Source organism: Homo sapiens, chromosome 8 (genome assembly GCF_000001405.40).
Source record: "Homo sapiens chromosome 8, GRCh38.p14 Primary Assembly".
Taxonomy (NCBI): Eukaryota; Metazoa; Chordata; class Mammalia; order Primates; family Hominidae; genus Homo; species Homo sapiens.
The window spans coordinates 83,765,476-83,781,861 of record NC_000008.11 but is presented as its reverse complement, the minus strand read 5'-3'; the positions used below and the strand labels follow the sequence as shown (position 1 = coordinate 83,781,861).

General features: G+C 37.9%; 2 annotated features.

Annotated features, from left to right (window-relative positions):
* Window positions 13,537-14,036: an enhancer, noted in NCBI's record as "H3K4me1 hESC enhancer chr8:84680061-84680560 (GRCh37/hg19 assembly coordinates)". NCBI's record gives its function as "activates a minimal SCP1, AML or CMV promoter by ChIP-STARR-seq in naive and primed H9 embryonic stem cells {active_cell/tissue: H9 hESC(naive and primed)}" and the evidence as "EXISTENCE:reporter gene assay evidence [ECO:0000049][PMID:30033119]".
* Window positions 14,037-14,538: an enhancer, noted in NCBI's record as "H3K4me1 hESC enhancer chr8:84679559-84680060 (GRCh37/hg19 assembly coordinates)". NCBI's record gives its function as "activates a minimal SCP1, AML or CMV promoter by ChIP-STARR-seq in primed H9 embryonic stem cells {active_cell/tissue: H9 hESC(primed)}" and the evidence as "EXISTENCE:reporter gene assay evidence [ECO:0000049][PMID:30033119]".

Genomic DNA, 16,386 nt, shown 5'->3' with positions numbered 1-16,386 from the left:
TTAGTAATGTCCAAAATAAAATGAAGTGGTCTTCATCAGTAGCTATACCTGTAAACATTCAGATAGAACAATAATTCAAATGCTTTGGTGAACAAAAAAAAAAGAAATATTAGTAAAATAATAGCGTAGTCATAATAAATTAATAAAACAGCATCCTTGGTAGCTTCTATATGCTTGTGTTGTATACACTTTATTTATGAAGATATATTTAGTGTTTACAAAGTGAAATTTGAAATCAACAAAGTTTTTTATAATACATATATTTTACCTTACAAATTAAAATTATTTGTCATCTAATTGGTTAGAGAAGTGAAATGACTGTACATCTAGAATGCAAAGGTTTATTTCATGGCCACAGATTTTCATGGATTTCCATTTCAAAGATAGCCAAAAATTCAGAACATTTTTATGGCCAAATAAAAATCCTGTGTCTGACTTTTTCCATACATTCATTGCAGAATTTGCACCATCTTAGGTTTTGACTACTTTATTATGGTAACTCCCAAGTAGTCACAAGTCATTAATTATTCATATTAATTTTCTAAAACAAGAGTGATCAAATTTGTAAAATTATAAACTCCATGATACAACATACATAGCTTTGCATATATGTATTATTTTTCTGGATAGAATCTGTTGGGTTTGGAAGAAATCTATTACAAGCCATCTATTACAAGCCAACATGTCTAACATCATACTCAACAGTGAAACGCTGAAAGAATTTCCTCTAAGAGCAGGAACAAGACAGGGGTGCCCATTTTCACCACTCCTATTCAACATATTGCTGGAAGCTCTGGCCAGAGCAATTAGGCAAGAAAAAGAAATAAAATACATCCAAATCAGAAGGACGGAAGTTAAATTGTCTCTTTACAGATGACATTATCTTGTATATAGAAAACCCGAAAGACTCCACCAGGAAACTGTTGGGACTAATAAATGAATTCAATAAAGCTGCAGGATACGAAATCGACATACAAAAACCAGGTTGCGTTTTATACACTAATAAAAAACTATCTGAAAATAAAGAAAAAAATCTTATTTAAAATAGCATCAAAAAGAATAAAATAGGAGACAAATTTAACCAAGGAATTGAAAGATCTGTACACTGATAACTATAAAACATCAATGAAAGAAATTGAAGAGAACACAAATAAATGGACAGATATCACATGTTCATGGATTGGAAAACTAATATTGTTAAAATGTCCATGCTACCAAGTGTAACCTAAAAACATAATTCAATAATTACCAAAACACAATGGTATTTTTCACAGTAATTGAAAAAAATTCTGAAATTTGTATGGAACCATAAAAGACTGTGAATTGTCAAAGCAATCTTGAGAGAAAACAAAGCTGGAGGCAGAACACTTCTGATTTAAAACTATATTACCAAGCTGTAGTAATCATGACAGCATGGTACTAGTGTAAAAAAAAAAAAGATGCATAGAACAATGGAACATAATAGAAATCCTATAAATAAACTTATGCATATGTAGTCAATAGCTATTTAATGAGGCAGTAAAAAATACACAATGGGGAAAAGGATAGTTTCTTCAATAAATGGTGCTGAGAAAACTAGATTTCCTCATGCAAAAGAATGAAATTGGGCCTCTGTCTTAGTCCATTCTTGCATTGCTATAAAGACACCTGAGACTGGGTAATTTATAAAGAAAAGAGATTTAATTAGATAACAGTTCCTCAGGCTGTACAGGAAGCATGGTTTGGGAGGCCTCAGAAAACTTACAATCATGGCAGATGGTGAAGGGCAAGTAGGCACACCTCACATGGCTGGAGCCAGAGAAAGAGAAAGAGAGGGGAGGTGCTACACACTTTTAAACAACCAGATCTCACAATAGCTCACTCACGACCATGAGAACAGCACAATGGGGGAAATTCACACACATGATCCAATCACTTCCCACCAGGCCCCACCTCCAACATTAAGGATTACAATTTGACATGAGATTTGGGCAGGGACATAGATTCAAACCATATCAGCCTCTACCTTTTAACACTCACAAAAATTAAATCAATATAGATTAAGGACTTAAATGTAAGATGTCAAACTATAAAACTTTTATAAGAAAATATAGAGAAAAACTTCTTGTCATGTGTCTTGGCAATAACTTTTTAGATATTACAACAAAAGCATAGTCATCAAAAGCTAAGTAAACAAATGAATTCCATCAAACCAAAAGGCTTCTGCATAAGAAAGGGAATAATCAACAATCAACAGGTTGATGAGAAAACCTACAGAATAAGATAAAATATTTGTAAACCCTAAATCTGATAAGAGATTAATATTAGAAATCTGTGAGGAACTCATAGGAATCAATATCAACAACAACCATAATTATCTGATATTAAAATGTCTATTCAAAAGAACTGACTAGACATTTTTCCACAGAAGACATGCAAATGGCCAACAGGTAGATGAAAACAATGCTCAACAACACTAATCATGAGGGAAATGTAAATTATTACACATTGTATGTCTGTATCAAAACTTCACATGTACCACATAAATATATACAACTTTATGTACTCAGAATAATTAAAAATAAAAAGAATTTAAAAATCGAAAAATGAAAAGACACAATAAGGTATCAGTTCATAATGTTAGAATGGCTATAATAAAAATTATGAGAGAAACTAGTTTAAGCAAGGATATGGAGGAAAGGAAGTTTTGTACACTGTTGGTGGGGATGTAAATTGGTATAATTACTATGGAAAGCAGTATGGAAGTTCCTCAAAAAATTAAAACTACCAAATGATCCAGCAATCTCACTTTGGGATAAATAGAAAAAAAAATTAAATTAGTACTTGAAGAGATATCTGCACTCTCAGGTTCACTGCAGCTTTATTCACAAAGACAAGACAGGAAAACAACCTAAGTGTTACTCAAGGAATGAATGAAAAAATAAAATGTGATATAGATCTAGAACATTATATATTATATATCACATATTATAATATATATAAATGTGGTATATATGTATATATGTGTATATATATGTGTGTGTGTGTATATATATATATATAAAATAAAATATCATTCAGACTTTAAAAAATTCTACCCTTTGCATCATGAAGTGACCTGGAGGGCTAAGTGAAATAAGCCAGAGAGAAAAAGATACATACTGCATAACCTCACTTCTATGGGCAATCTAAAAATATGAAACTCATGGAAACAGAGTATATTAGTGGTTGCCAGGTACTGTGGGATGAAGGAAATGGGGAAATATTGTTTACATGGTACAAAGTTTTAGTGTTAAGATGAATAAATTCTAGGGCTCTAATGCATAGCATGGCAACTGTAATTGATAATAATTTTTATATGCATGGAATCTATTGAGAGTAGATCTTAAATGTTATAACAATACACACACACACACACACGCACACACATGCAAATGGTGATTTTATGAGGTGATGGATATATTAACTACCCTGATTGTGGTAATCATTTCACAGTTTGTAGGTACCTCAAATCATCATGTTGTACACCTTAAATATATGCAAATTTATTTGTCAATTATAACTCAATAAAACCTTAAAAAGTTATTATTTCATTATGTAAATTATCGATGATCTAAAACAGCTAAAGAGCAATGAATTCGTGTGGGGATAAATATGTGCTTGGAAAGACATGTTGGAGATCTAGGATGGTAGAGTCTTAACACTGACCCAGCAAGTAAGAAAATATATTGATCAAGTGGAAGAATATAAAATGTTGCTCAATTCTGTTTAAGTAGACACTCTGGTATGATTTAATGAACATTAAATTGTTGATTCCATCCTTTTTTTCCTCTCAAATATCACATGATCAAGTCTTGGGAAAATCAACCAAGTTAACAGTAACAATTATCTTTTTAAAATAATAACTAATTATATCACAAGTCGGAGCCCTTATTTTATTTTATTATTAAACTTTTATTTTAGGCTCAAGGGTTCATGTGTAGATTTGTTGTATAATTAAATTACGTGTCATGGAGGTTTGGCATACAAATTATTTCATCATCCAGTTAATAAGCATAGTACTCAATAAGCAGTTTCTCAGTCCTCACTTTTCTCCTACCCTCCACCCTCAAGTAGGTCACAGTGTCTGTTGTTCATGTCAATATGTACTAAATATTTAGCTCCTACTTATAAGTGAGTACATGCGGTATTTGGTTTTCTGTTCCTGAGTTAGTTTGCTGAGGATAATGGCCTCTAGCTCCATCCATGTTGCTGCAAAGGACATGATCTAGTTCCTTTTTACGGCTGCATAGCATTCCATAGTGTATATGTGCTACATTTTAAAAATCCAGTCTACCACTGCTAGGCATTTAGGTTGATTTCTTGTCTTTGTTAATGTGAATAGTGCTGGGGTAAACATACATTTGCATGTGTCTTTATAGTAAAATGATATATTTTTCTTTGAATATATACTCAATTATGAGATTACTGGGTCGAATGATTATTCTGTTTTAAATTATATCACAAATCGCCAAACTGCTTTCCACAATGACTGAACCAATTTACATTCCCAGCAGTGCAGAAGTATTCCCTTTCCTCCACAGCTTCATCTGCATCTGTCATTTATTAACGTTAATAATAGACAGTCTGACTGGTGTGAGATCGTATCTTATTGTGGTTTTGATTTGCACTTCTCTAATGATTAGTGATGTTGAACTTTTTTCATAGGCTTTTGACCACATGTACATCTTCTTTTGAGAAGTGTCTTTATATTATTTGCCCACTTTTTAATTAATTTTCAGGTATGTCTTATTGTGTTGTATTATTATTATTATTATTATCGAGATGGAGTTTCGTTCTTTTTGCCCAGGCTGGAGTGCAGTGGAGCAATCTCCGTCCACTGCAACCTCTGCCTCCCAGGTTCAAGCGATTCTCCTGCCTCCGCCTCCCAAGTAGCTGGGATTACAGGTGCCCACCATCATGCCCAGCTAATTTTTGTGTTTTTAGAAGAGACATGGTTTCACCACATTGGCCAGAATGGTCTCTAACTCCTGACCTCAGGTGATCCGCCCACCTGGGCCTCCCAAAGTGCTGGGATTATAGGCATGAGCCACCGTGCCTGGCCTCTTGTGTAGTATTTTGCAGGGGTTCTTGGCATTACCTGAATTTGAATATTGACTTCTCTAGCATGTTGGGGAAATTTTCATGGATGATATCATAAAATATGTTTTCCACATTGCTTGCTTTCTCTTCCTGTCTTTCAGGGAAATAGATGAATAATAGATCTGATATCTTTGCACAATTCCTCATTTCTCATAGGTTTTATTAATTTTTCTTTGTTTTGTTTTCGTTTTGTTTTTTTAAATTGCCTGACTTAGTTATTTTGAAGAGCCAGTCTTCAAGCTCTGAGATTCATTCCTTACATTGGTTGATTCTGCTGTTAATACTTGTGGTTGTATTCTGACATTCTTGAAGCAGGTTTTTCAGCTTTATCAGCCCAGTTTGGGTCTGTCTTGGTGTGGACAGTTCATCTTTCATTTCCTGTTTTATTGTGTTCTTTAGAATCCCGGGATTGAGTTTCAAATTTCTCTGACTGTCGATTATTTTTATTCCCATCCATATTCTGAATTCTTTTTCTGCCATTTCAGCCATTTCAACCTGGTTAAGAACCATTTCTGGGGAACTAGTGTGGTTGTTTAAAGGTAAGAAGACACTCTGGCTTTTTGAGTTGCCAGAATTCTGTGCTAGTTCTTTCTAATTTTTGTGGGCTGATGTTCCCTCAATCTTTGAAGCTGCTATCCTTTGGTTGGGTTTTATTTTATTTTATCCTCTTTGATGTCCTGGGGGTTTGATTATGGTATAAGGTGGCTTCAGTCAACTGGCTTCATTTCCAGAAGATTTTAGGGGTCCAAGGCCCAGCTCAGACTCCTGGGCTGCATGCGCTAACTCTGGGGGCCTGGTATTGGGCCCCAGTTCTTTATTCTCTCCTCCATCAAGGTTAGGAACTTGCTCTGCTGGAGGGTCTGATGTGTTCCTGGACCACTGGTCACAACACTCCCATGGGTGGTGCCAGCCAAATTGCTTCCTCAGGCAGTGGCAGTGGGATCGGTGCTTGTTCTTACGTGCCAGCAGCAGTGGCACTGTGGCAGGATGCACTCCTGTTGGCTGCAGCAGGGTGCTGGCAACTTCAGGTGTGCTGGCCTCCGTGTGAGTATTTACAGGAGTGACAGTAGCAGTGTGGTGTGGACTTGTGTGGGGCCACCAGCATCTGTGCATGCATTTGCACAGACAGTGGTGTTGGCACTTGGTGAGGCACTGCAGAAGTGGTACTGGCCCCCTCTGTGTGTGCCTAAATGCAGGCAGCATGGCCTGTGCATAGTGGGGAGTCAGGACCACTAGTCTTCATGTGTAGGTTCTCACCAACAGCAGTGTCGGCTCAGGAGTGAGGTGTTGGCAGCCATAGGGCATGTGCTCTCTAAGCTTGTGAATGCGCCAGCCAGAGACAATGGTGGCACAGGGTGGGAAGCAGGGCTGCTGTCCTCCTTGAGTGCTTTTGCATTAGCAATGTTAGCATGGTGGGGGGGTGGTGGGGGCAGGGTGCACTCACACTGGCAGCAATGGCACAGTGGGTTGCACTTGTACATGTGTGCAGTCAGGGAAGGGGAGGTGAGGTCCACCCTAGCACATATATGCTGACAAAGTGATGTGAGGGGTGGTTGTTGTTAAGTGCCTGCTGCAAAACAGCATGGAAAAGGATGTGGAGGCAGGAGGGTGCTGATGGGCTGTTGTGCATTAGTCTGGGCTGCTCTGCTGGAGCTCTCCAACAGTCAGACGCAGTCCACCAGGCACAGGAGCTATGATTCAGGACCCCAGAAGGCACCTCAGCTGGGCATCTGAGGCTGCACTACAAGCAGGAGGGGCCAGGCTAGGCCCCAGGACAGGCCAGCAGACAGAGGGGGATACTCAGGTTGGACCAGTCCCATTTCATCAGCAAGATGTCCCTGCACTGTTCAGGTATGATAGTTCCTTAAAGGCTAAATACTTGGGGGGCAATCCTTGGGGGATGGGTATCCCTGTTGATGCTCTGCTACAGATACTTCCGCACCAAACCCTCTGTGGTCTGTAAGAGCTGGAATTCTGCCCCTAACCCCTCTCTAAGCAGCTCTTCCTGTCCAACTCTTGTCCATGGAGGTTGTGAGGTCTTCTGCTGCCAGGATTTGAGAGGTTCCTGATGAGATTGAGTTGCTCCTGTCCTTCCCAACTCATCCATTCCCCAGGAATCACCCGGGGCCAGGAATGAGTCCCAGTGCACGGTAGCCCCATGCAGGGTTCCCAGCTTCCACCCACTTCAGCCTAGCATCTGTGTCTTCCCTTTGTTAATGCCTTCCCTCTCAAGGTCTGCTCCGAGTGCACCAGTCTTCCCAACGTCCTAGTCCCTCAGTGGCAGTTGTTCCTCCTGGTTCCATCTAGTCGGCCATCTTGCTTCTAACCCTTGTACTCAGGAACACTTATTTTAAAAAGGAATTCTATAGATATACCATTATCTCATGCTTAAAAAAAATCAGTTATGTTTTCCCAGATAAAATTATGTTCAGTTACTGTTTTTTGAGAAAATGATGTTTAAAACAGATTTTAAAGGTATTTGTAAAAATTAATACATAATAATTTTCAACATATAAATTTTCATATTTTATTTTCATAATACTTGTTCAACATAGATTTGCTAATGGTGACAAAAATCAATAAAACTTTATTATTTTTACTGCTTTGATATAATTCAGCATCAAATATAGTTTTTAAGTAACAGCATAATATGAGAAACCATCTTGATGCAGAAAGTTATTTAGAGAAAAATTCAAACTGCTTGTAATATTTAATTCAAATATACTTTTCCAAATTTAGCTCACATTTGGGTTCCTAAAAATTTAATTGAATATTTTGTCCTTTACTATCTGAGAAGATCTATGCTACATCAGAGGTTGAAGTACAGCAAACTTCAACAGGCTCTGTTATAACATTCTTTGACAAAGATTAAACAAGAGAAACTCAGAATTTAAATATATAACTTAAAAGATTGAATTTTTCAAAACAGTTTTTAATCAAATGAAGTTTGAATAAGTTCTAATTCATTTTGGGACTCTTTCAAAATAGATTTCTATAAAGAAATGTGTCATTATTTCTTTTATCCAAACTTATGAAGCATTCCTTTTTGGAACCAATCTTGACTTTTAATGAAGAGTAAAAGGTAAAACTGGAAACAGAGACATGCTATATTCTTTATCATAAAATGATCAAACTATAAATAATTTGAAATACTTGCTTTATTTGGGGATAGAATGAGATTTTTATTATTTTTTTTGCATTAGACAATATTGTTCCCCCTTGTCATGAAATAGAAAGATTAGAAGATTCCACTTTTACTCTTAAAAGAATTTCAGGATTTAATAAAATACATGCAATTGCATTAAAATTGATGATTGTTATTACTCAAGAGGTAGATATTTTCATTGGGGATGGCTTTACCTGTTAATCTTATTTGTACTTTTTGTAACCCCCTATATAAATGTACAAAACTTTTAAACCTTAAGATTATCCAACTCTAGTAATAAGTTTGTAGAAATTATTAAATACTCATGTACGAAGTATTTAAGTAGTAGAAGATATCTTATTGTCCATCATTTAGATAAAGATACACGTTAACTCAAATACAACAGAAACAATTACACTTTTGAAATATGATTCTGCTAGAATTCATTACAATATTCCAATTATTCTTCATGTGTTATTCAATTACATGCATTGATATTGGGATGATCTCACTAATTATAGTGCCAAAGTAATGGATGAGAGTTGTATTACATAATCATTCACGACTATGGTAAAAAGTAAAGTGTCATTTTCAATTCCTTTAACATTAAGTATTAGAATAACATAAGGATTAAAAGCTGAACACTAGTATAATTGTCAGTTTTCTATCTAAATCCTTTCAATCTGAGGAACAGAATGTTTAGACTTACGTTATTGTACAGTGATCTACTTGGGGTGATGAAATTACTGAATCTGTGTCATCTTTCTTTATGTGACAAGAAGTAGGACATGTCTACTTATGCTTTAGAGTAGAGAAAGCCATCCATTCCTGACACGGAAAACACTAATTTTTTCAGTATATATAAAAGAGCATTTCCAAATACAGATTTCCAGCAGACTAACATATTTAACCAGGTTGGAGAATTGAGTTATGTTCTAAATCTATATGAGCAGTAAGTCATAATGGATTATAATAATAGATAACCTCATTTACCCGTTTTATAAAATATTTTGCAAATAGAGAAATGGAAAAATGTTTTAAACAATTAGGTGACAGATACATAATTGTTTTAATATTTACTTTCATTAAAAGTATAACATTTCTTTGCTTTTTAACATCAAAAAAATCAATTTTTTATAAAATTGCTGTGAAAATTTATGAGCCATTTTTAAAGTAACAAATATTGTGAAATCTTAGATTTTTTTGGAACTGGAAATCCAGGAACTAGTATGTTAAATATAATAGTTATTTCCTTTAAATTACTATAACACAATTATTTCTTCACTCCAATAGTACCCAAGTCCTCATAAAATCTACACATTTCAGCAGAAAGAAATAAATTGGTTCTATTCACACTTCTAGAAAGTGAAAGGTAGGAATTCAAACCTAGCTCTCACTGACCTAAAGTCTGAGCAGTTGGCAGATAGTGTTTGGTGAAGAGTAAGGAATTTGCTGTTTTCATTTGTTTCTCAGAGTGGAAAGTCCTTCATTGCCTGATGCTAAATGGGAGTAAAAAGTGTTTGGCTGTGTCTTCTGGAACAGGTTATTTGGATGTGGCAGAAACTGGCTAATTTTTAATTATACGTCTTTATTCTTCTTGGGCAAAAGCTAGATGACCTTTCCTATTAGATAAGGCATTGTGCATAAATTCTAGCCAGTAGAATATGAGCAAAATTAGAGTTGTGGGGAGGCAAATTTTAATATTTATTTAAAACAAGGTTGAAATATTTAGTTTATACTTTCAAAGTGCAGGAATATGAATATACCCAAGTATGTTAATCTCTATATGAGATTACTTCCAAATATACACTGCTCAAAGCCCTCCTCAGTAAATATTATAGATGCATTATTGTTTATATTTTCAGTCAGTTTTCTCCAAACACTTTGCCCAAATTTGTTAAAAATTTATTCTCAGTTTCAGGTACCGTTGAGAATGGAGATTGTTTGACAATTATAGCTCTATCCTACAGTTAATTTTAAATGCTATTTTAAAAAAATTAACCCATCCCAAACTTCCCTTCCAAATTTCTATAAGACCACCTATTTGTTCTCTTGTTATGTAGTGAGTCTGTAAGAAACTAAGTATATCAAGTAAAGCATTGTATACTTTTAAATTGTTCACTTATTGTAATAAAGGCACTTCATTTTCTGAAAATTTAGGTAAAAAGCACATTCAATTAACCAAAATATCATATAATAAATAAAAGGGCTTTGTTTTGTGTCTACCAAAATGAGGAAGTTGTGTTTTGTGTCATCGTGGGGTTTGTGTTGGAAAGATAAACTGAAATAAGGTACTGTAAAATGTGACTTTCACATCAGTGAAAATTGAATCCCAAATGACAATTTTGAGTGATTTCTCAAAGAGATAAAAAGCAGCCTCCGGTGATATTGTGTGGGGAAGGCTTTGTGATTTTCACCTTTGAGAGTCATGGAAAGAAAAAGATGTTCGATAACTAAATCATAATGGAATGATGGAAAAAGTCACTACTTTTATAGGTCAATAAAACCTTACCATTGGGAGATTTTTTTGTTCTAAGTTACAAAACTTTGTTTCCCTGTGTAGAATAAAATGGTAATGATGATTTTAATCAAGTTTCCACTACAAATAAGTGTGAGAAGTAAGCAGTAGAAAGGCTTTAAGTGCCCTCACCCCTTCTCAAATATCAGCTGTAGTAGGTAGGAGCCATTGAAGAGGAAGCTTATGTCACATGACATGAGAAAGGACAGGGAGACTCACTTAAGAGGGCATAGCCATAGGGGATGCTCGCAATATGCATTCTCCCTGTTTAGATACCAAAGTAAAACTCTATTTGATTATTTTGTGTTGATATGATTAAGCAACATCTTTTAAATATATTTTTAGTATCCATAGTTTTAATTTTAATTTTTTTTTAACTTTTATTTTAGTTTGAAGGGTACATGTGAAGGTTTGTTACACAGGTAAACTCATGTCCTTGGGGTTTGTTGTACAAATGACTTTGTCATCCAGGAATTAAGCCCAGTTCCCAGTAGTTGTCTTTTCTTCACCTCTCCCTCCTCTCACCCTCCACCCTCAAGTAGACCCCAGTGTCTGTTGTTTCTTCCTTTGTGTTCAGGAGTTCTCATTATTTAGCTCCCATTTATAAGTGAGAATGAGCTGTATTTTGTTTTTAGTTCCTGTGTTTGTTTGCTGAGGATAATAGCCTCCAGCTCCATCCATGTTCCCACAAAAGAGATTATCTCATTCTTTTTAATGGCTGCATAGTATTCCATGGTATATATGTACCACATTTTCTTTATCTAATCTGTCATTGATGAGCATTTAGTTTGATTCCATGTCTTTGCTATTGTGAATAGTGCTGCAATGAACATTTTTGCGCATGTCTTTATGATAGAATGATTTACATTCCTCTGGGTATATACACAGTAATGGGATTCCTGAATTGAATGGCAGTTCTGCTTTTAGCTCTTGGAGGAATCACCATACTGTTTTCCACATTGGTTGAACTAATTTACACTCCTACCAACAATGTCTAAGTGTTCCCTTTTCTCTTCAACCTCACCAGCAGCTGTTATTTTTTGACTTTTTAATAATAGCCATTCTGACTGGTGTGAGATGCTATCTCATTGTGGTTTTGATTTGCATTGCTCAAATGATCAGTGATATTGAGCTTTACTTCATATGCTTTTTGGCCGCATGTACAACTTCTTTTGAGAAGTGTGTTCATGTCCTTTGCCCACTTTTTAATGGGGTTGTTTTTCTTTTGTAAATTAGTTCATGTTCCTTATAGATGCTGGATATTAGACCTTTGTTATTGCATAGTTTGTAAATATTTTCTCCTGTTCTGTAGGTTGTCTGTTTACTCTGTTGATAGTGTGTTTTGCTGTGTAAAGAATCTTTAAATTTAATTAGATCCTACTTTTCTATTGTTGCTTTTGTTGCAATTGATTTTGGTGACTTTGTCATAAAATATTTGCAGATTCCTATGTCCAGGATGGTATTGCCTAGATTGTCTTCCATGGTTTTTATAGTTTTGAGTTTTTCATGTAAGTCTTCAATCCATCTTGAGTTGATTTTTGTATATGGTGTAAGGAAGGGTTCCAGCTTCAGTCTTCTTATAGCTAGCCAGTTATTACAGCACCATGGTAATGGCAACAAAGAACTGTCTGGAGCAGCTGCTGTGCAGATGCTGGCTGCAGTAGAGGAAGCATGGCCAGGGCTGCATGCTCCATGGACCCCACAGGAGCCTGGTACAGGTGAGAGCCCTGCCTCCTTCCGAGTTTGAGGGGTGGGGTCTCTGCCCTCTCCGGCTCAGCTGCAGCTGTCCAGTGGTGGCTGTAGACCCAGGCTGTGGACCCAGACTGTGAACCCAGGCATCCCTGCACTCTCAGGGCCCAGGAAACCCCTCTAGCCCCTGCAGGCTCTGAAGTGCCTGCTCCTGCTGCCTGGCCTCTCCCCTCTCTCAGTGCTCACTCCAAATTTGGAGCAAAGTTGTGGCTGAGCCCCGGCACTGTCACAACTCAGCTGGGTGTGTGCACATTCAGGGTGGTGCTGACATGCCAGCCTCCTGCCACCTTGGCCCTTTCCAGACTTTGAGCCCCAGTGAGCACAGGAAGGAGGCCGAGGGGTTGCTGAGGGCAGCACAGTGTGGTCCTGCAGGCAGCCTTCCACGTGAATAGCCTGGGCACTGTGGATGACATGATTGATTGTGGCAGGAGGCAGATGGGCTCCTGGGCAGAAAGGGTCAGGTTCTTGGTGAGACCCCACCTTCAAGCCAGGGACAGCCTGAAGCCTGGGCCTGGGCTGCCAATCCATAGACAGGAGTGAGAACTTGTGGTGTTTTTTTCTAGGCCTGTCCATGGCCGCCCATGAACCAATCAGCACACACTTCCTCCCCTCTGAAGTCCATAAAAACCCCCAGACTCAGCCGCACTCAGGCAGATGACAGGAAAACCTGCCTGCAGATAAGAATTACCCACTCTGGGTCTCTTCTCTGCCGAGGGCTGCAGAGATGAAAGGATGACCTGCCTGTGAATAGGAGCAACCCACTCCAGGTCTTGTCTCCACTGAAGGCTGCAGAGATAATGGGATGACCTGCCTGTGGATAGGAGCTACCCACTCTAGCTCTTCTCTCCACTGAGGGCTGCAGAGATGACAGGACAACCTGCCTGTGGATAGTAGCTACCCACTCTGGGTCTTCTCCCCGCTGAGGGCTGCAGAGATGTTTGGATGGCCTGTCTGTGGATAGGAGCTACCCATTCTGGGTCTTCTTCCTGCTGAGGGCTGCAGAGATGTTGGGATGGGCTGTCTATGGATAGGAGCTACCCACTGTGGGTCTCCTGAAAGCTGTTCCGTCCCTCAAAAAAGTACCTCTTTGCCTTGCTCACTCTCCAGTTGTCCACATACCTCATCCTTCCTGGATGTGGAACAATAACTCAGGACCCCATGAATGGTGAGGTTGAAAGAGCTGTAACACAACAGGGCTAAAACATGCCTCCCACTTGCCACATTGCAGGTGATGGGAAGGAGAGAAAAGAGGAGAGAAGAGCTATGGCCCTTCCAGGAGCCCAGACCTAGGGGCTCCTTGAGCCAGAGCTGTGACACCCTCTTTGGGGCTCTGTGGTTTCTGCTGCCTTCAAGCTTCTGGGCACCACCATATTCCCCTTGACCAGACCCAGGTCCACAAATGAAGCTACTGCTTGTGATGCATCTGATCCAGCCGCAAACTTGCATGGAACCTGCACCTGTGCCGACACCTGGAGCTGCCTACCCTGCCACAGCAGTCAACGTGCCTGCCTGTTCACAGTGGCCAGACCCAACACTCACTCACACACCCTTCGCCACCCTGTGCCTGGCTTGCCCTTGGCAGACATGGAATCTGGGCCGGTAGCATGAGCCGAGGACAGTGTGCCAGGCTGAGTGGGCAGAATGAACCTAGTGGGCCCAAGCAAAACGTAGGCAAAGGGGCCACTGGCCACAGAGGCTTCCAGCTGGAAAAACAACAACCCAAGGATGACAATTTATTCCCTAGAGAGTCTTTTCCCCATTGCTGGTTTTTGTTCAAGATCAGGTGGTCATAGGTATGTGGCCTTAGTTCTGGGTTTCTCTATTCTGTTCCATTGACCTATGTGTCTGTTTTTGTACCATACCATGCCATTTTGGGTACTGTAGCCCAATAGTATAGTTTGAAGACAGGTAACATGACACCATCAGCTTTGTTCTTTTTATTTAGGATTGCCTTGAGCTGTTTTTTGGTTTCATATGAATTTAAAATAGATTTTCTGGTTCTGTGAAGAATGTTGTTGGTAGTTTGATAGGAATAGCATTGAATCTATAAACTGCTTTGGGCAGTATAACCATTTTAATGATATTGATTTTTCCTATCCATGAGCATGACCAAGAGATGTTTTTCCATTTGGTTGTGTCTCCTCTAATTTCTTTTAGCAATATTTTGTAATTCTCATTGTAGAGATCTTTCACCTTGCTGTTAGCTGTATTTCTAGGTATTTTATTCTTTCTGTGGCAATTGTGAATGGGATTACCTTTCTCATTTGGCTCTTGGCTTGGATATTTTTGGTGTAGGAATGCCAGTAATTTTTCTACATTAATTTTGTATCTGACACTTTAATGAAGTGGTGTGTCAGATTAAGGAGCTTTTTGGCCAAGATTATGGGGTTTTCTAGATATAGAATCAATCATGTTACCTGCAAACAGAGATAGTTTTATTTCCTCTCTTATTATTTGGATGCATTTTATTTCTTTCTCTTGCCTGGTTGCTCTTGGTAGGACTTCCAATACTATGTTGAATAAGAGTGGTGAATGAGGGCATTCTTGTCTTGTGCCAGTTTTCAATAGGAATGCTTCCAGCTTTTGCTCATTCAGTATATAAGCTGGCTATGGGATTGTCATAGGTGGCTCTTATTATTCTGAGGTATGTTCCTTCAGTACCTAGTTTATTGATAGTTTTTAACATGGAGTGTTGAATTTTATCAAAGCCTTTTCCACATCTATTGAGATAGTCATGTTTTTGTCATTAGTTTTGTTTATATAATAAATCACATTTTTTGATTTGTGTATGTCAAACCAACCTTGCATCCTGGGGATGAAGCCTACTTGGTTATGGAGGATTAGCTTTTTATGTGCTGCTAGATTTGGTTTGTAAGTATTTTGTTGATGATTTCTGCATCAGTGTTTATCAAGGATATTGGCCTTGAAGTGTGTATGGTGTGTATGTGTGTGTGTGTGTGTGTGTGTGTGTGTGTGTCTCTGTCAGATTTTGGTATCAGGATGATGCTGGCCTCAGATAATGAGTTGGGGAGGAGTGTTTCCTCCTCTTTTTTTTTTTTTTTTTTGAATAGTTTATATAGGAAAGGTTACCAGCTCTTCTTTGTGCATCTGGTAGAATTAATCTGTGAAATCATCAGGTCCTGGGTTTTTTGTTTTTTTTTTTTTTTTTTGGTTGTTAGGTTCTTTATCACTGATTCAATTTCAGAGCTTATTATTGGTCTGTTCAGGACATTAATTTCTTCCTTGTTCAGTCTTGGGAGAGTGTATGCATCCAGGAAATTATCCATCTCTTCTAGGTTTTCTAGTTTGTTTGCATGGAGGTGTTCATAGTAGTTTCTAATGGTTATTTTTATTTCTGTTGAGTCATTGATAACATTCCCTTCATCATTTCTAAACAACCATATGCCATCAAGTTATAGTTCAAAAGTGGTCATTTATAATGTATTACAGACATACAGACTCCTCCATTCTTAATTCCATGTACCTAAGAAGCCTCTTCTTTTCCTAATTGCCTAATGTTGAGTCCTGGAATCTACAATACTCATGGCATGTGACACCGTAAGGAGTGGGAAAAGCTGTTTCCTACAACTTTAAGTGACCTCCTTCTGAGGTTTGACTAAAGTGGTTTCAGTGTTCCTCTCAGCTTGACTAAATTTGGACAGGCTTCTTCCTGACTCTAGGCCTCTAACCACCCTTATCTTAGAGGATTTAATTGAGAAGAAAATGTAACTTTTTTCTCAGTCTCTTTGAAATGTAAATCTTTCTAGCCGCTCCCTCACCCACCCTGCTAGTTTTATGATCCAGTGAGGTATTTTTCAATGACCTGGAAGCCATCTCTTTGAAATGTAATAAT